This window comes from Homo sapiens, chromosome 8 (assembly GCF_000001405.40).
Source record: "Homo sapiens chromosome 8, GRCh38.p14 Primary Assembly".
Classification (NCBI taxonomy): domain Eukaryota; kingdom Metazoa; phylum Chordata; class Mammalia; order Primates; family Hominidae; genus Homo; species Homo sapiens.
In genome coordinates this window covers 54,381,397-54,401,624 of record NC_000008.11, presented here as the reverse complement: position 1 = coordinate 54,401,624, position 20,228 = coordinate 54,381,397, and the positions used below count along the sequence as shown (strand labels likewise).

The 20,228-nt window shown below is 42.8% G+C and overlaps 1 long non-coding RNA gene across 1 annotated transcript, besides 1 other annotated feature; it reads right to left on the bottom strand.

Annotated features, from left to right (window-relative positions):
• Nucleotides 1-6,371: 6,371 nt before the first annotated feature.
• On the bottom strand, nt 6,372-19,932 carry LOC105375840 (uncharacterized). The gene is made up of 3 exons (XR_001745913.2): nt 19,796-19,932; nt 12,759-12,834; nt 6,372-8,640 (listed from the first exon to the last, which is right to left on the bottom strand). It is a non-coding gene; the product is annotated as an uncharacterized LOC105375840 (long non-coding RNA).
• Nucleotides 19,222-19,516: a silencer, noted in NCBI's record as "tiled region #8643; HepG2 Repressive non-DNase unmatched - State 20:ReprD, and K562 Repressive non-DNase unmatched - State 20:ReprD". NCBI's record gives its function as "represses a minimal TATA promoter and a strong SV40 promoter by Sharpr-MPRA in HepG2 and K562 cells {active_cell/tissue: HepG2 | K562}" and the evidence as "EXISTENCE:reporter gene assay evidence [ECO:0000049][PMID:27701403]".
• Nucleotides 19,933-20,228: the final 296 nt, after the last annotated feature.

Below are 20,228 nucleotides of genomic sequence, written 5' to 3'. Positions count from 1 at the left end.
CAAAATAATATAATTGTCATAATATCATAATGAATAAGTCCAAAAGTATTCATTGTACTTTTCTGGTTTGTTTCCTTGCCACCACTGATGAGATTCTAAAGCACACAAAAGTCAAAAGAAAATTATCAAAGTGAACGGCCCATCAACTCAACCACAAAAATAATGCTTTTTATTATTATCATTTAAAAACACAGGAAGATGATAAAATCCAAGAGAGAAGAATAGATATTAATTTTCATGTCCTCAGTGCATAAACACTAACCACACTGAAAAATATTTGCCATTGGGCCAAAGTTAACATCTAATCGGTTTTCTTCTGCTTCTTGAAACCTCACTCATCTGAAGCACAGGATCCCTGAATTGTGGGAATTACAGACATCTCTGGGTTCCTCAAAGTGGCCAGGTCAAAGATTTAGGCCTCTAATCTGGGAATGGCTCTCTCCAGCCCGGCCAGCTTCCCTGCCATTCTTTGCAAGGACTGTGTGTATGGCACTGGACTTATTTTCCCAGAAGTGCTTCTGGGACTGAAGTCTGCACAAAGGGGCTGTTAAATGTGTTTCCCTCCCTCCTGGCTCAGCTGGCTCCTAAGCCTCAGGGCACATACAGCTCATAGTTCCTATCAACTTTTCCCAAAGGACCCCTGGGCTCCTGCAGGAGCCAGCACTTCCCTGGAACAGGAAACTCTATTTACACTGTCTTGGAGCCTGGTGCTCATCCATAAAAGGGAAAAGAGTCCTTTAGGAAAAGGGCAGGGTGCTTGGAAACTCTTTAAAAGTGAAAGCTTTGCAACCGGTTTCTGTTGTTTTACACTGTTGGTTAATACAATTTTTCAGAACATAAAAACACATGCCCTTTGGCTGAACAGTGCCTCTGAAAAGCTGACGTGCCAATAAACAAAAAACATGGAGAGATTTTCATGGGAATCTTCCAGAGTGCACACCTAGGTCAGATCATCATTTCTTTAGCCCTGTAGAACGTAATTCCAGACAGATATACTGGTTTACACATCAATAATCCAATTGCACTTTAAATGAGGAAGAAGGGCTATCTCGGCTTTGGAATAGCATCATGTTTAGGTCAATGAATGATTGTTCCAATTCTCCTTGCAGGTACTTATCATGTAACTTATGTTCTACCAGCTAACAAATACACTTGCTGAGTGATCTGAATCTCAAATGAAAAAAAGATACATCAGGAAAAGATTGCAATTGGCGTGGGAGAGAGGGCATTAAGAATTGGAGCTCTAGGAGGATTCAATCATAATGGTCAATAAATAATCATAATTTAAATTTTAGTAATAAATGTTTGTGGCTTATAGTATTATTATTTATTTATTTAGAGACAGGGTCTCACTCTGTCACCCAGGCTGGGTGACATGGCATGGCATGAGCTCAGTGGCATGATCATAGCTCACTGCAGCCTCGAAGTCCTGGGCTCATGTGATCCTCCCACCTCAGCCTCCCAAGTAGCTGGGACTACATGTGTGCGCCACCATGCCTGGCTACTTTTTTAATTGTTGATAGAGATGAGGTCTCGCAATGTTACTCAGGCTGGTCTCAAACTTCTAGGCTGAAGCAATTCTCCCACCTCAGGCTCCCAAATTGCTGGGATTACAGGCATGAGCCACCATACCCAACCTGTTTGTGATTTATTATTAATGGTAATTACAAACAATTATTATGAATTGTTACAAGGCATTGGGTTAAGTGCTTTATACCTATAAACTCTTTTAACCTTATGAGTTAGGCACTCTCGGAATTCCCAGTGTATAGATGGCTCAAAGAGATTAAGTAACTTGTCCAAAATCACAGTAAGTGGTGAAGCCAGTATCTGGTCTACTGAGCAGAGTATGCAGTCTGCACATGTGCCGTTGGTTTGCTGAACTGATGATGTAACCTTCTTCGGGAAGGTTATAGTACTTAGGTATCTAGTCCCATAGATGATGCCCTAACCATTATGTTTCACTGCCTCTTGTACTCTGTGCCTAACTCTACTCCTAGTACTTTTAACTTAAATAGCACAAATAATGTGGTAGAATTTCATGAACTAAAATAGTCATTCAACCATTTTTCATTTATTCTGTACCTGCTAGCACCTAGGACCATACTTAGGCTAAATATAGTGATTCTGATGTCATTGGGATTGGAGAGACAGACCAGAGGCCAGGATTTGAGCACCCAGGCATTCCTGGTCAGATTTCACCATGAATCCAGCTCCATATGCCATCTCCACACCGTACCCCGCGCCCCACACTCACCTCACTTCCACCCTGGGCTTTCACGGTCCCACGTGACACGAGTCTCCCTGCATGTCGCACCTGTTGATTTCACTGCCTGGAGTGCACTTCCCCAGCCTCTCAGCCCCTGCATTTCACTTCTCAAACTCCAGCCTGGGCACCACCTCTCCTGCAAAGCCTTTTCCAACCACTCCAGCGAAGGCGGCTCCCCACTCCTTCCTTTGTGCTCTGGGGCCCATCTTCCTTGGTGGCTGCTGCTGCGTGTGGCACCCACCACGTACCATCATTGCCCCCCACAGGCCAGTCCACAGGGCCTAGAGAACAGAGCTGGATCTCACGCTGCTGTGCATTCTCTGGACAGGGCCCAGTGCCTCCAGAGTATGCAGTCTGCGCACGTGCCATTGATTTGTTGAACTGATGATGTAACCTTCTTCGGGAAGTCACTTCCCCAAACCTGCAAGACTCTTCCATCAAGGACCACCTGTGAAAAGCACCTTAGGAGGCTGAAAAGTGTTTTGTTTTTTGTTTTTTGTTTTTTTTTTGGCGGCGGGGGAGTGGGGGCAGTTCTGGTCATCTCAAAGTCATTGGTGACCTTAAGAAAATAATATTGAAATGAGATGTGAAAGGACTAGAAGATGAAAAAAAAAGTTACAAGACAACTCCACTGAGAAATCTGACTATGAAGGGCAGCAATGAATAGGCCAATAGGTGAGGGATGTAAGGCTGGAGCAGGGTTTCTGTTTCCTGTGTATGCAGTTTCTGCTACTGTTTAGAGGGCTCAGACCTTTGTCTGTTTAAGGGCTGAAGGGAATGGGCAGAGAGGAAGAAAGAGCAAAAGGAATAACTGATAGCTTAAGGTTTCGGAGATAGTAGCAATGGCCTCCCTTCATAATGAAATTGCTTAAATGAGTTGTCTGTAACTGTCTTGTTTCTGTCTTCACCTTCTAATTCCTTCTCATTTCACTTCAATGTGGCTTTTATTAAGGTCACCAATGACTCCCATATTGCTGGGAACACAAAACCACTTCTCAGTACTTTAATGTCCAGAGCAGGATGGGAGATCAGTGTTTTTTAGAAGAGGAATGGCTACTCTACTGTAACGAGAAGAGAGAAGAGGCAAACCAGGACAGATGCAGCTTGTGTTCCAGATTTGCTGGCCGGAAGTTGAGGAAGGTCTTGGCTGGTATTAACATTTCTTTGTGTCACATATGAAGCAAAGTCATTGAGGGGGAGGTGATACATTTGAGGCAGAAGGAGATAGTGTTTGAAAAGCTTTTTCGGAGGGCAGGACAGTAAGCAAGTCAGACAGGTATAATGAGATGGCCAGCCAAACAGAGCACCATGTGTGGTTGGTGACTGTGAATTTATAGTGACCCCAACCTGCCTGGCTGGGGTGTTTCTCAGTCCTCAGCTACCTGAGAGAGACCAGACAGTGAGTGTAGTGAAGGTAGTGGGTTCATCAGATTTCAAGTTTGCCAGCACGTGCAACAGAAAGAGGGCACAGTTGACATGATGGGACAGAATCCAGCATGGATGTCAGACAAGTTAACAGTGGCAGGCCGTGAATAGGGAAAAAGTGGGGGTCAGGGAAGGTCACCCAGAAGTAAAGGAGGCTGTACAGGGAATACTCGAGCAGGAAGCTGCAGGGCAGGGTTTGCGGGCAGCGAGGAGGATGTTTGAATCTGTGATGCTGGAGGTGGAGCAGCTGCAAGAGATAACATGGTTCAGACTCACATTCTGCACCGTGAGAAAGGGAAGCCATGGCCCACTGGAAAGCAAGGTCACTGGGTCAAGGAGCTAAGAGGTCACAGAGTCGGATGTGTCAAGAATAAAAGCAAATGTGAGGATGAAGAGAAAGAATGCAGTTCCAAAGTTTCACAAACAGTGGTGAGTGTCCAGGCAGGCCTTGGTGAGACCCTCAGTCATTCCAGCATTGGGAGCTTTATTGTTTGGTGAGAGACAGGAGATGGAGCAGGCTGGTTTTGAAATGCCTTGGTTGTCAGGCAAGGGTAGTTACCCTATGCTCCCAGTAGGGTGCATAGCCTTTAAAAATCATCAACTAAAACTGTGTTATTTATTGTTGCCATGAAGAGATAGTGAACCGTACTGTACAGCATGGAGCCTGGGTGATAACAACGGGTGAGTGGCTTCCTCGGCTGTGGCTGATGGACCACTCAGGTGCAGGGTGTTGACGATGGGGAAGGCTCTGCAGGGGTGATGGGCAGGGGAACATGGGAAATCTCTGTGCCTTCTGCTCAATTTTGCTGTGAGCCTAAAACTGCCCTAGAAAAATTAAGTCTTTAAAAAGAAGATTTAGGAGGAATAGATCTTTAGAGAAACATTAGAGAAGTTGGGAGGCAGGCCAAAACAAACTACACCCATTTCACAGTCTCACCAGGAGCCAGTGTGGTCTCCAGCATTGCAGACTAAACAACCCAAGGGACTAGGTTTAACACTTTCATTCACATTTTTCTTGCCCCAGCCCTGAAATAAATGTAGGGTCCACAGCTCCACCTGCCTCTGGTTGATAGGAAATCTCACAAGAGTTGCTCTGGGTTTCCACAGCTGGAGACTTCCGAGCTAACACTCCACGGGGCAGTTCACCTTCTTTTGACAAAGATGGCCATAATGGCCTCAGAGTCTTGAGGCAGCTTTTTGTCATGTAATCAGAACTGGACCACCCTAATCTTTCTCCTCCAAGATTCTCTGTCTCCCCGTGTTCCCCGAGAATAACAACCAGTCCTTACTGAGGACTTCAGATGTGCCAGACACTGTTCTGATATCTACATGTGGTCATTTTACTTAATCTACACAATAAAGCCCCAATCTATGAGGTTCTGTTATTGTCATCCTCATTTATAGGTGAAGAGTCTGAGACACAGATAATTAAGCAATTTTCCCAGAGCCACAGGGAAGAGCTGGAGGTGGGATTTGGCATCAAAGGTGGCGCTGTCAGCCTCCCCTAGTTAATGTCACCACATCCTCCCTGCAGGGGACATTGGTCCTGTCCTCAGCGTCTCCTTCTCCCCGCAATGCCCACACCAGCCACTCACTAAGTCTTGTCCACCCTTCCTGGGACACTGACCCCTGACTGTTTCTGGTCCTGGCACCTCCTCCAGGCCCCCAGCCCCTCTCACTCCCAGTCTTCCACCTGTCTTCCCTTTTCCAAGGTCAGCACCACGCACAGGCCAACCCCTTCACACTTCCAGTTTTTATTCTCACCTCTTAACTGCCTGTCCCCTGCTCCCTCCAAGCTCCTCACACTGAATTGAACTGTTCTGTGACATGCCAGAAACCAAAAATGCTGTGTCCCCCCACAGCCTTTTCCTCTGTCCTCTCTGTCTGAAGCACCAACTCCACCTTCTTCCCCACCATATCACTGCCACCCTGCATCACAAATGTCCCTTGATCCTCAGGACTCAGTTCCTAGTCCCAGCTTGGAGCATTCTCTAAGAGCCCTGTGGTGCTCAGTGCTCTGAAGTGTAACACCCGTTTAGGTGTCTGCCTCCCCTACTCTGACTGTCAGCCCCTTCAGGACAACGCAGGGTCCCTTTGATCTCAGTGTTCCTAGTGCCCAGCAGAACTCCCTGCCCATGGGAACCAGGTGTTCTGTCACTGTTGTTTGAACAAGTAGTGAAAAATGGGAGCAACATGAGACCACGTAAGCCCTCAATGTGTTCTTTTGTTCTATGTTTGGAGGGTAAATGAAGAGCTCATCAGCACCCAACGCAGAGAGGCCCACTGTGCTATAGACTGTTCACCTGTTAGAACCTGAATTGTAGATTCATACTTAGGACTTAGCTTCCCCCTGCAACACGGGTTCTATCAGGGCAGGGCTTATCTTTTTTTGCCACCATATTATGAGGTAAGGAACTTGGTGCCCGTGCCCATAATGTGTGTTTTGTATGACATGAAACATAAATAAATAAAAGGTCTCCGATCCTTACAACAACCCTATAAGGTTAATATTTCCCATTGGAGACTGAAGCTCAAAGAGGTTAGTGTCCAAGGCCATCATAAGACAGTTGGAAACCAAGTAGGGAAAACCTTACCTTTGAAGCCCATTTTCTTTCTACACTTCTGAGTTGCACTCCTGGACCTTCTTAGCTATGAGAACTGGACACTCACATCAAAGAGAAGAATAAAATTATATTTAAAAAATAATGCAAGGGAGGCAGAATTTTTCTGTTTAAAATCAGAAAACCTGCCACTTACAAAACTAGACTAGTCAAAGAAAAATTGATGGTGGACTTAGCACCTGGAAGAGAGTGAGCTTTGGAAGCTTTGGGAGAGAGAGACTGGGTGGCCTGAGTGACTCAGTCCCGTGGGGGAGCACAGCTCAGGCTGGAGGAGACTGCTTTCTCCAGAATGCACCCTGCCACCAGGAACCAGCCTCTGACCACGCTGCTCATGGGCAACCAAGCTGTTCTTAGCCAGCACCAAAGAACACCGGAATTCAGCCAGTTTTGTCTCATACTCTAACAAAGGAGGTTGAAAAAAAGTCCTCTATTTTATTTATATCACTTTAGGGTCACAAAACTCCCAAACAGGTTTCCTATATGATGAAACAGGCATTTTGTTCTCCCCCTTTTGCTTGAAAAAGTTGCAATTTCTTAGTAAACATTACTCAGCTAGTCCTTACCATAACCCATGATGAAGGCAGTATTTATTTTTAGTTTCATCTTCACAGCAAGGAAACACACTCACAGATGGAAAACGATTTCACTAAGGTCATCCAGTGAGTCAGTGACAGGACCCAGTGGGGCAAATTAGGCACCTGGGTCTTGGTTATTAAACTTTGAGGCTCTACTAACAATCCAAGACCCAAAAAAAGCAGTTTTACCATATCTTCTGAAAGTAATTTTAATGCCAAGCTTTGTTGTATGTTGTTTTCTGCTTATCAGCCATCGTACTGCAGCATTCTTTCCAGTTGGAAGGCCCCACTCTGTGTCATTTAAGGATGGCATGAGATATAGGTGTAAAGTACTGAGCATAACATACAGGATATAGTATCTGCTCAATTAAAAAATGCCCCCTTCCCATGTGTGGGAATTCTGTGTCATTTCCCATTTCTCTTCTATCTGATAAAATAAGAGCTATGCCTGCCAATCCATGGTATCTGCAGAGTAAGTGGCAAGTACAAATAAAACCAGTCACAGCCACCTCACTGCACTGTTTCCACTGGCTGACTTTAGCTTCCTGAACATGAATAAAATGAACTGGGCTCATTTGTTTTAGAGCATATTCTCAAATACTATTGGGTGGTTATAAAAGTAATACCTATGCAGTATTTTTTAAAATGTGACAAATGCAAATAAGAAAACAAAAATCACCTATCATTCTAATTAAATTTTAGATGTAGTTTGTGATTTCATAGGCCCCAAATACATATCTAATTATTTTACCCAAATTTATATTGCTTCTATTTTTATTGTGGTCATAAGTACAGTTATGAATAGTCTGTTCAATACCTTTGCCTATTTATCTGAGTTTATATGTTTTCTGTCAATTCTCAATCTAAAATTTTAAGAAAGATTTGGGGACTTGGAGTCCTTCCCCTGGCTGGGAATTGCTCCTCACATGGCCAGTGGCAGAATGTTATCTTTATCAGATATCAGGCTACCGTCAAAGAATGGCCCACTGCTAGACATTTCAGAAATTAACACAGAAGATCTTCTGACTTCACCTACTGTTGGCGTCTGTGTTTCACAGTTTTCTTGCAACCTACACTAAAAGAGTGTGTCCCAAATCCTCAAATATCACAGCACACCATCCAAATAAAACATGTATTAGGAATGAGAAAAATATGCTTATATCTATTATTACCTAGTCATACTTTAAAAAGAAAAAAAAAATCTTGGCTTCTTTGTAAATCTTCATGCAACATTACCTACTTTTTGTGTAATTAAACTCTGAAACCTTTTTTATCTAGATCAGGAAATGTGGTTTGATTAACATGAGAGATTTTAAAATAATCTCTCTCAGGTATATAAGAGAATGAAGTGTGCACACTAAATGGCGATATGATACTGCTGTTAAACTTAAGAGTTGCCTGGGCACTTGTTCAGATTAATATTATGGCACTTTCCTTATATTGCCAGAGTCCCAGACAGAGAAGTTAAATGACGTCTCCAAGGGCAAACAGCTGCAAAATTATAGAGCTCAGCTTTTAAGACAGACTTCCATCAGTCAGTTCCCTGGGAGCACTAGTTCAGCTCTGCTCAGTTAAACATGCATTGTAGAAACCACTGAGTGTTGGACACCGTGCTGGGCTTTGAGGTTACACAGATGCCAAGGAGACTGTCCTCTGGTGGGCATTTGTCTGGTGGTAAGTCACAGTCAGCCAACAGTGTCTCCAGATTGTGGGATGCACAGGGTTGAAGGCTTCCCCCAGAAGAGGCTGCCTAAACAGAGTTGCAAAAATGGGAGTTAGTTGAACAAAGGCAGACTAAATAAAACAAGGCATTTATCTGTACAATCTGGGAGTGAAATATAAACATTGCCCAAGTCAAAGTTTCCAAATTTTCTTTGGCAGAGACACTAAAGCCTAATGTGTGAAACAGATAAAATGTGCAGCTTCCCTACTGGGGAGGTAAGAGGCAGAAACCTTAGTCTTCCCCCTTCTGCCTCCTTCTCTGCATAGACAAAGGACAAGGTTGCCCTCGGGGTCCTGCAAGGGTAGAGGGGACTCACCAGAGGTGGGCACAGGGAGGTCTGTGTGGCTAGCAATGCCGTGTTTCTCTGTCAGAGCACTGGTTACATAGGTGGTTCAAGTTTATAAAATTCACCAAGCTGTACCTTGAGGGCATTACACTAAGTGAAATGAGTTCATCACAGCAGGACCAAATCTGTATGATTCTATTACATGAGGTACCCAGAGTAGTCGAATCCGTAGAGACAGAAGGTACAATGGGGATTGCCAGGGCCTGGGCCAGGGGACAGGGGAGTGGGGGATCTGTGTTTAATGAGAATGAAGCTTCAGCCTGGGAAGATGAAAACGTTTTGAGATGAATGGTGGTGTTTGCACAGCAATGTGAATGTACTTGATACCACTGAACTGTGCCCCCAAAATGATTAAAATAATAAATTTTGTGTTATGTATAATTTATCACAATTAAAAAAATTAACCTGCGTATTTGTGACTTGTACAATTTTCTACATTAAAAGTTAAAAAAAAAAAAAACTAACCAAATCCCAGTTTTAAACATCACACTCTGGAAACTTTTGGAGTATGGTGTCTCTCTTATGAAGGACTGAGGGGTCGTTCCTGCTTTTTCATCTCACCTCCAAACTCAAACCAAGGTTTGACAAGCTCAGCGACTCTCCCTTACTACTATTTCCTGAAATTAGTCTGTGGCTGTTTGTGCTTCTCTTTATTTTTCCTGCTTCCCAAATGGTCTCGGCTGACAGGTGTTCTCTCTAGGGATAAGACTCAGGTCTCACCAGGCTTCCTACACTCTGCTCTTCATGAGAAAACCCCAGGGTTAGACCTGGACAGAGTCTGGCTCTGTGGCCCAGGCTGGAGTGCAGTGGCACAATCTCTGCTGACTGCAACCTCCCCCTCCCGGATTCAAGCGATTCTCCTGCCTCAGCCTTCTGAGTAGCTGGGTCTACAGGCATGCGCCACCACATCTGGCTAATTTTTTTTTTTTTTTTGCATTTTTAGTAGATATGGGGTTTTGCCATGTTGGCCAGGCTGGTCTTGAACTCCTGGCCTCAAGTGATCCTCCCGCCTCGGCCTCCCAAAGTGCTGGGATTACAGGTGTGAGTCACTGTGCCTGGCCAACTTCTCCTTTAAGTTCAATTTGTATATGCATTGAGAAGACCTACATTGATTCTAATTGAATGCACATGACTGAATGCACATGATTGATCTCTAAAACTGCTAAAGGTTTATTCAGACAACTCTTTGGCTTCATTAAGGATTAACTTATTTTCCCCTGACTTTATTGGACATATTACTAATAGTACAGTAATCATCCTATCTAACATTTACTGAGCATCTTCCCTTTTCCAGGCACTATTCCTGCACTTTATATGTTTAATCTCATTTAATCCTCCCAGTAGCTCTATGGGACCGTTCTATTAGTATCCCCAATTTACAGATGAGGGTACTGACGCACAGAGAAGTTAAATGACATGCAGCTAATATGTGGCAAAGCTAAACTGCTGAGCAGACCTAATCCAGGTTTCTCCTTAATTTCATAACCACATAAGAGGCAGATGCCACCAGCAGAGAAGTCAGACACCTGCAGTGCCTGTGAAGTGGGACATTTTCATTCTTCATCAACTCAAATCTGCTCCCATGCAGGGTGTTGTTTCCACGTCTGGCCAACACCACATCCACAGTCATGTTGATACAAAGCCTGTGCTACCACTGGATGATCACGGGCTTGGGAACAGGGTCAGAACCTCTCCTCTCTGCACCCGACATCCCTTCGTTTGAGGCACTTCCATAGGCAAGGTCCCACCAGCTGCAGAGATAGTCCCAAGCTTCACCCAGAATGGCTCATGTCTGTAATTCCAGCACTTTGGGAGGCTGAGGCAGGTGGATCACCTAAGGTCAGGAGTTCAAGACCAGCCTGGCCAACATAGTGAAACTCCGTCTGTACTAAAAATACAAAAATTAGCTGGGCATGGTGGCATGTGCCTATAATCCCAGCTACCCAGGAGTCTGAGTCAGGAGAATCACTGGAACCTGGGAGGCACAGGCTGCAATGAGCCGAGATCACGCCACTGCACTCTAGCCTGGGCGACAGAGCAAGACTCTGTCTCACAAAAAAAAAGAAAAAGAAAAAGAAAGAGTCGGGCCAAGAAAATCTGGTGCAAACTGAAGTCTGCCCAGTTTTCAATAAAAATAACTTTGAAGCTGACCTTTAATCTTTTATCACTTCAGTAAAGTAGGATTTAGACAGAACATCTCAGGATTTCCTGACTTTACCTTTCCCTCTGAAGGAGAATGCTTCAATTGATAGCCAAGAAGGCCAACTATTTTTAATCAAACTCTTGAACTTTCTTGGCTTTTGAAAACTTACTGGAGGGAAATATCCAAAGACTATAATATTTAGTTTATTTTCAGAGCCTAAATTAATATCACCATCTGTGGAAGATTCTGGAAAATAGCTAAAGCCAGGATGAGTGAGGTAGTGTCTAGTGACACCCTGGTCAGCAGAAAATGATATAATGAATGTATGTGCAAACTGAACACAGTGGCACATAAACGTTCCGTAAGAGAACCATTTTGTTAAAATACCTTTAGAAAAAAACACATTGTGTAAATTAAGTGACACAACATTTATAAAGCTCTCCGTGTAGAAATCTCCTCACTTTAGCCAGGCATGGTGGCTCACGCCTGTGATACCAGAACTTTGGGAGGCCAGGGCGGGTGGACTACTGGAGGTCAGGAGTTCGAGACCAGCCTGGACAACATGATGAAACCCCGTCTGTACTAAAAATACAAAAATTAGCTGGGCTTGGTGGTGGGCGCCTGTAATCCCAACCACTCGGGAGGCTGAGGCAGGAGAATTGCTTGAACCCAGAAGTGGGAGGTTGCAGTGAGCCGAGATCATGCCACTGCACTCCAGCCCGGGTGACAGAGTGAGACTCTGTCTCAAGAAAAAAAAAAAGAAAGCTTCTCACTTATTAGTAGATTATTGTTTGCTTGTTTTACTCTGCAGGATCTACCTACAAATATTAAAAGCAACAGATCAACACCCATGTGAGAAACTCCACTGAAAAACATGTTCTAGTCATATTTCACAATGCACAACATGGTCTATTCACAATTCAAATTGAAGCTTCTCCTTAGTCTTCTTCCAAATGAGACTCTAGTCTGAGAGAAAAACCTTCATTTACCATGAAAAGTTTCTTTCTTACCTAAATACTAACATATTGATTTAAGTATAACTTTGATGAGAAATCTAGAAACGGGCTATCTGGTAACATTCCACTCTGCTAAAAATGTCAAACAAGAAACACCATAGTGGTCTCAGTTATTTAATCTTCATCTTGGAAGAGGAGTTAATTTTGAAAGTTATGCAAAGTTTGCATGCATTATGTATGCAGTATCAAAAAAAAAACAATAACTTTTACAAGATTAAAGAGTTGAGTGGAACTATATGAGAAAATGCTGAAGGAATTGGCATTATTAACAGCAAGACTAAATGAAGGGTGGAGACAAAGAATGGAAATGGGAATGATCCTGCTTTTACAGGACTTCCAGGGGCTAAAGAATTTGCAAATGGCTTACACTAATAAATTTCTAGAACTTTATACTATTCAGTTGCGAAAAGTTTACATTACAGATTTTAAAATATTTTCCATACTTAGTATAATAAAAATCATCAATGATGTAATACAGCCAACTACTACTGTACAGAGGAACCATACAAGTATCTCATAAAGTTCTTCATATTGTTCTCTTTCTATGTGGGTCTCCAGAACTCTGAATACACAAGAGCATATTATGGCCACAATTTCATGACTCTGCTTTACAAATAACAAAACAGGCCCAGCAGCTTACCTGTTCTCTGAAGGCTTGACAGTCAGGCCACATCTTAAAAACAGCAATCAGAACCAATTCATGCCCATCTGAATAGCTACAATTTAAATGTCAAACAATACCAAGTATTAGCAAAGACGTCCCACACTGAGATCTCCAATACACTGCTGGTACAAAAAGGAAAAAAAGAAAAAAGAAAAACTGTAACCATATCAAATAAGCCTGAAGACCTACATTCTCTAAGTCCAGGTATTCTAGATACAGGCACACCTCATTTTACTATGCTTTGCTTTATTGTGCTTCACAGATGCTGCATTTGTAACATATTGAATGTTTGTGGCAACCCTGCATCAAGCAAGGGTTTTGGCACCATTTGTCCAACAGCATATGCTCACTCTGTGTCTCTGTGTCACATTTTGGTAATTCACACAAGATTTCAAACTTTTTCTTTGTTTTTATGGTGTTATCACTGTTATGGTGATCTGTGATCAGGAATCTTTGACCTTACTGTTGTCATTGTTTTGAGGCACCACAAGCCACACCCACATAAGACAGCAAACTTAATTAATAAATGTGTGTGTGTTCTGACTGCTCCACAGACCATCTATTCCCCTATCTCTTTCCCTTTCCTTGGGCGTCCTCATTCCCTGAGACACAATGATATTGAAATTAGGCCTATTAATAACCCTACAATGACTTCTACATGTTCAAGCGAAAGGAAGAGTTGCATGTCTCTCACTGCAATCAAAAGCTAGAAATTAAGAATCTTAGTGAGGAAGGCATGTCAAAAGCCAAGAAATGCCAAAAGCCGGTCTTCTTGCATTGCGCAGTTAGCCAAGTTGTGAATGCAAAGGAAATGTTATTGAAGGAAATTAAAAGTGTTACTCCAGGCCCGGTGCGGTGGCTCACGCCTGTAATCCCAGCACTTTGGGAGGCTGAGGCAGGCAGATCACGAGGTCAGGAGTTCAAGACCAGCCTGACCAACATGGTGAAACCCCATCTCTACTAAAAATGCAAAAATTAGCTGGGCGTGGTGGTGCGTGCCTGTAGTCCCAGCTACTCAGGAGGCTGAGGCAGGAGAATTGCTTGAACCTGGGAGGTGGAGGTTGCGGTGAGCCGAGATTGCACCATTGTACTCCAGCCTGGGCAACAGAGAGAGACTCTGTCTCAAAAAAAAAAAAAAAGTGCTACTACAATCGCGCCACTGCACTCCAGCCTGAGCGACAGAGTGAGACTCCATCTCAAAAAAAAAAAAAAATGCTACTCCAGTGAACACATGAATGATAAGAAAGTGAAACAGACTTATTGCTCATATGAAGAAAATTTTAGTGGCCTGGATAGAAGATCAAACCAGCTACAACATTCCCTGAATCCAAACCCTCATCTCAAGAGCAAAGCCCTAGCTCTCTTTAATTCCTTGAATACTAAGAGAGATGAGGAAGCTGCAGAGGAAAAGTTGAAAGCTAGCAGAGTTTGCTTCATGAAATTTAAGAACAGAAGCCATCTCTGTAACATAAAAGTGCAAAGTGAAGCAGCACATACTGATGGAGAAGCTGCAGCAGGTTATCCAGAAGATCTAGGAAAGATCATTGATGAAGGTAGCTACACCAAACAACAGATTTTCAGTGTAGACAAAAAAGCCTTTTATTGGAAGAAGATGCCATCTAGGATTTTCATAGCTAGACAGGAGACATCAATGCCTGACTTCAAAGGACAGGCTGGCTCTCATTAAGGGTTAAGGCAGCTGGTGACTTCAAGTTGAAGCCAATGCTCATTTTACATTCCAAAATCCTAGGGTCCGCTAAATCTTCTCTGCCTGTGCTTCATAGGTGGAACAACAAAGCCTGGATGACAGCACAGCTGTTTACAGCATGGCATACTGAATATTGCAAGCCTACTGCTGAGACCTACTTCTCGGAAGAAAATACTTCCTTCAAAATATTACTGTTCATTGACAATGCACCTGGTCACCCAAGAGCTCTGATGGAGATGTACAAGGAGATTAATGTTATTTTCCTGCCTGCCAACACAATATCCATTCGGTAGCCCATGGATCAAGGAGTAATTTCAACTTTCAAGTCTTATTATTTAAGAAATACATTTCCTAAATCTATAGCTGCCATAGGTAGTGATTCTTCTGATGTATCTGGGCAAAGTAAATTGAAAACCTTCTGGAAAGGATTCAGCATTCTAGATGCCATTAAAACATTTATGATTCATGGGAGAAGGTCAAACTATCAACATTAACCGGAGTTTGAAAGAATTTTACTACAACCCTCATGGATGACTTTGAGGGTTTCAAGACTTCAGAGGAGGAAATAACTGCTGATGGTAGAAATTGCAAGAGAACTGAAATTTAAAGTGAATCCTGAAGATGTGATTGAACTGCTGCAATCTCATGATAAAATTTTAATGGATGAGGAGTTGCTTCTTATGGATGACCAAAGAAAGTGGTTTCTTGAGATGGAATCTGCTCCTGATGAAGATGCTATGAGCATTATTAAAATGACAACAAAGTATTTACAATATTACATAAACCTAGTTGAGAAAGCAGTGGCAGGGTTTGGCGGATTGACTCCAATTTTGAAAGAAGTTCTACTATTGGTAAAATGCTACCAAACAGTATTGCATGTTTCAGAGAAATCTCTCATGAAAGGAAGAGTCAGTCGATGCGGCAAATTTCATTATTGTCTTATTTTAAGAAATTGCCACAGCCACCTCAACCTTCAGCAACCACCATTCTGATCAGTCAGCAGCCATCAACCTCAAGGCAAGACCTTCCACCAGCAAAAAGATTAAGACTTGTTGAAGGCTCAGATGATTGTTAACATTTTTTAGAAATAAAGTATTTTAGGCCAGGCGCCACGGCACACACCTGTAATCCCAGCACTTTGGAGGGCCAAGGCTGGTGGATCACTTGAAGCCAGGAGTTTGAAACCAGCCTGGCCAACATGGCAAAAACCCATCTCTTCTAAACACAAAAACTAGCCAAGCATGGTGGTGCATGCCTATAATCCCAGTACTCAGGAGGCTGAGGCAGAAGAATCACTTGAAGCCGAAAGACAGAGGTTGCAATGATCCCAAATCGCACCACTGCACTCCAGCCTAGGTGACAGAGTCTGTCTGTCACTAGGTGACCCTGTCTCAAAAAAAAAAAAAGAAGTATTTTGAAGTTAAGGTCTATACATTTTTTTTTAGACCTAATGTTATTACACACTTAATAAACTACAGTATGGTGTAAATACGACTTTTATATGCACAAGGTAATCCAAAAATTTATGTGACTCTCTTTATTGTACTATTGGCTTTATTGCAGTGGTCTCGAACCAAACCCACACTATCTCTAAGGTATGCCTTGTATTTGCCCAACAGACACTTGGAAATGTGCCCCAAGAGACATGGATAAGAATGCTCATGGTGGCATTGTTTGCCACAGCCAAATACTGGCACAAGCCCAAGTTTCCACTGACAGAATAATGAATCAATAAATTAATTCTAAATAGTCATAGTATTAAGTACTATGCAGAGGTTGAAAATGGTTCAAATTGATGTATTCATGTTCCATGTTTCTACTTGGATAATGCTAAAAATGTATTAATTTAAGAGTAACCTTAGAAGCTTATATAAAGCAAAGAGCACTATCAAAAAATTGAAAATATAGCCCACAGAATGAGAGAAAATATTTACAAATCATATATCTGATAAGTGACATATATCTAGAATACATTAAGAATTCTTGTACCTCAAAAATAAAAAGATAATAGGCCTGGCGTGGTGGCTCACACCTGTAATCCCAGCACTTTGGGAGGCTGAGGTGGGCAGATCACCTGAGGTTGGGAGCTCCAGACCAGCCTGACCAACATAGAGAGACCCCATCTCTACTAAAAATACAAAATTAGCTGGGCGTGGTGGTGCATGCCTGTAATCCCAGCTACTTGGGAGGGTAAGGGAGGAAAATTGCTTGAACCTGGGAGGTGGAGGTTGCAGTGAGCTGAGATCATGCCATTGCACTCCAGTCTGGGCAAAAAGAGCAAAACTCCGTATCAAAAAATATATATAAATAAAAAGACAAGTAATTCTATTTAAAAAATGGACAAAGGATCTGAACAGACATTTCTCCAAGAAAGATATACAGCTAGCCAACAAGCACGTGAAGAGATACTCAGTACTATTAGTCATTATGGAAATGCAAATCAAAGTCATCATGAGATACCCCTTCACACCCACTAGGATGGCTAGAGTCGATAATAATAGGTGTTGGTGAGGATATAGACAAGCCAGAATCCTCACACACTGCTAGTGGGAATATAAAATGATGCAGCTGCTTTGGAAAACACTCTAGCAGCTCCTCAAAAGGTTAAACATAGAGTTCCTATATGACCCAGCAATTCCTCTCCTAGGTATATGCCCCAAAGAATTGAAGCACGTGTTCACACAAAAACTTGTACAGAAATATTAATAGCATTATTCATAATAGCCAAAAAGTGGAAACAACCCAAATAGCCATTAATGGATGAATAAATAAATAAAATGTGATACCTTCATACTATGGAATATTATTTGGCAATAAAAATGAAGAAATATAAATACATGCTATAACATGCATGAATGATAAATACTGTGCTAAGTGAAGAAAGCCAGATGCAAAACGTCACATATTATATGATTCCATTTATGTGAAATTACCAGACTAGGCAACCCTCTAGAGACAGAAGATCCATTATTGGTTGTCTAGGTCTGGGAGTGGGGCAGGGTCAGGGGAAGATGAGGGAGTGTTCATTGGCACCAGAAGGTTTTTTTGGCTTGGCATGAGCGGTGGTGATGAAAAGGTTCTACAATTGATTGTGATGATGGTTTTGCAACTTTCTAAATATATTAGAAACCATTGTACACTTTGAATAGATGAATTGTATGGTGTGTAAATAATATCTCATTAAATTTATCAAAAAAGTATATACATTATGATTTATATTCAAATTTTAAAGCATGCAAAACAATATTACCTATTGCATGTATAAACACATGTTTGGAAAATGCAGGCAAGGGTGGTATTTGAAAACTGAAAATTTTGTGCTGTCACTCTGGCCTTTAGACAGGTCTGGGAGCTTGAAGAACATCTGTCCTGCAGGCAGGGGAAAGACAAAGTTCGGACAGCCATTGCCTCTGTGCAGGGAGGGAGGAGCCCAGAGAGAGGACCCAGGAGGCTTCAACCATTTCTTCAGAAGAAAAGTCAATACCACGAAGTGTTCAGATTAAATAAGAGTTTGTGGGTACATAAACATTTATTCTATTATCCTCTATATTTCTCTGTATGTTTAAAATACTTTCTAGTTTTAAAAAGTTGTATATTTCAAGGCCCCAATCTCTTGAAGGCCATAGCAAATGCCCCCATCAGGGCTGCTTGTTGCGGAGAGCTGGTGGTTAAACATTTGCCAGCACACTGCTGAATCCAGTCCAAAAAAGCCTGCCCATTTTCACAGGGGCAAGTAGCTGAAAGAATCTTCAGGCTTTATTAGGAGGGAGTAGATCTACTTAAGCACATTCGGGATAAACCAAGGGCCACCTTATTTGGAGCAGTTGTCATCCCATTTTACTGAAAACTGGGTTTGTACTGTAATCACAGGAATTCCCACGAAGCACAAAGCAGAGGATTTTGGCCCTGTGAGCCCTGGCTGCCCGCCTGAGGCCAGCCTGTTCTAAGCCTCCTTAAGGAGTCCACACTGCATCAAAGTCCACGTCCCTGGGAACAGCGGCCTGCCAAAAACTTCCTGACCTGGAAGCAGAAAGTTTAAGAGCATTTCTGGTAACTGTTGGATTAAACCTCTGACTTCTGGGAGCAGGTTGCTGAGAGTGTTCAACTTTCTGAAATAGGCATGTAATTTGAAAGGTTAAATCAGATGCTTAATAACCTAACTGAAATATTCCAAAGCCAAGAACATCAAACACAATTAAAAAAAAAAGAAAAAAAAGAACCTTCTCCTTCATCTGTCTTGTCCTTTTTAACACATTTTTAGTACCAGGGTTTAGTAGGCTTTTAATTTTTTGAAATAATTTAATCCAATGGCCGTGTTTGAGAGTACCATAGCAGTTTAAACAAAATTCATTCAAAATATATTAAAAGTAATCACTAGAAATTAAAAGCAGGCTTTCTCCATCACGTTCACCCAGATTTTGCTCTTCTATTGCATCTTCTTGCTTTCCCAGGGATTCAAAGTGGGAAAGAGAATAAGACGATGGACCAACATGAATAAATTGTATATAATGTTAATGAGTTTGAAGACCTTTCTGCTTTCCCCCATTATAAGAAGCTTCAGGCATTTGCCTACATTACATAAACTGTTTTGGGAGTTAATCCCTTTCCCCATGTGACTCATGATCGGTGCAGGTCCTTCCAGAGAGGATAAAAATACAATGGATTACGGCATTGCAGCGTCTGCAATTCTCAAGGAAGAAATGGCTTTAGACATTTATACAGCAAGCCTGGCGGCCGAGTGTGGGTGAGTGTGTCCGAAAGCAGTTGGAAATCGGACAGTTTGTGCTGCAATGCAAGGACAGGAAGCATTGCGAGTTTCTGCAGCCGAGGTTGGCTTGAGATAATACCATTGTATACCCAGCCCAGAGACCGCTCCCACTGCTGAGAGCCCGGGGCCTGGCGTCTGGCTCCTTGGCTGCGGGCCAGGCTGAGGTCCTGCCGTCTGAAGGCAGGGTGTGTGTCCCCTCCCAGGCGGTCCACACACACAGTGCCGGCCACACCTCACCTTCCAGAGGAAATCTGGCCAGAAAGCCAGACTTCATGACTTCTCCTTTATGAGCTTCCCCCACCCCCAGCCTTAGCCCGGCTTTTGTTTTCCACTGGGATGCAGCGGCTGTATGCACGCTGCGCTCAGATTGAGATTTAAAGTCCCAGCAACGCAGGAGCTGATGACAGGGTTATTGGAAAGATACAATATCTCCCTGTGCCCTGCTGCCTCTGCGGTCAGCGCTGGGCCCGGCTCTCATCACTCTCCAAGCTGTCCTCTCACGGAGCCCTTCCACCGGGCAAGAGCAAGAGTACTTACCAAGGACTATTTTAGACGCATTTAGCAGCAATATTGTTTGATTTTAACTGGACATTGTTCTAAACACACAAAAGAGTTCAAGGATGTGGCCACTGGGTTTTGTTCTTCTCCATCCCCCCTCGTCCGCCACCCCCTCCCCACCCCCCCCCCGCCCCGCAAGAGCTGTCAGGTTTCTCTGGGAAAATGGGATGAAAATGTTTGGGGACATTTCCACACAATAAAACACTAAAAATTTTTTAAAGATTTCCTTTCTAGTTTTGTCAGGATTGTAACTCAGATCCGCAGAAGTCAGGAAATTCCAAATTTATGTTGACACTTTCCCCTTAAAACCCTCATCAGATGATAACCAGTGTAAAAATCTGTTTCCATCCAAATGTTTCCAATGTTAACACCGGGTGCCAGTTACTCCCTGTGCAATGGTGCTTCAGGGCAA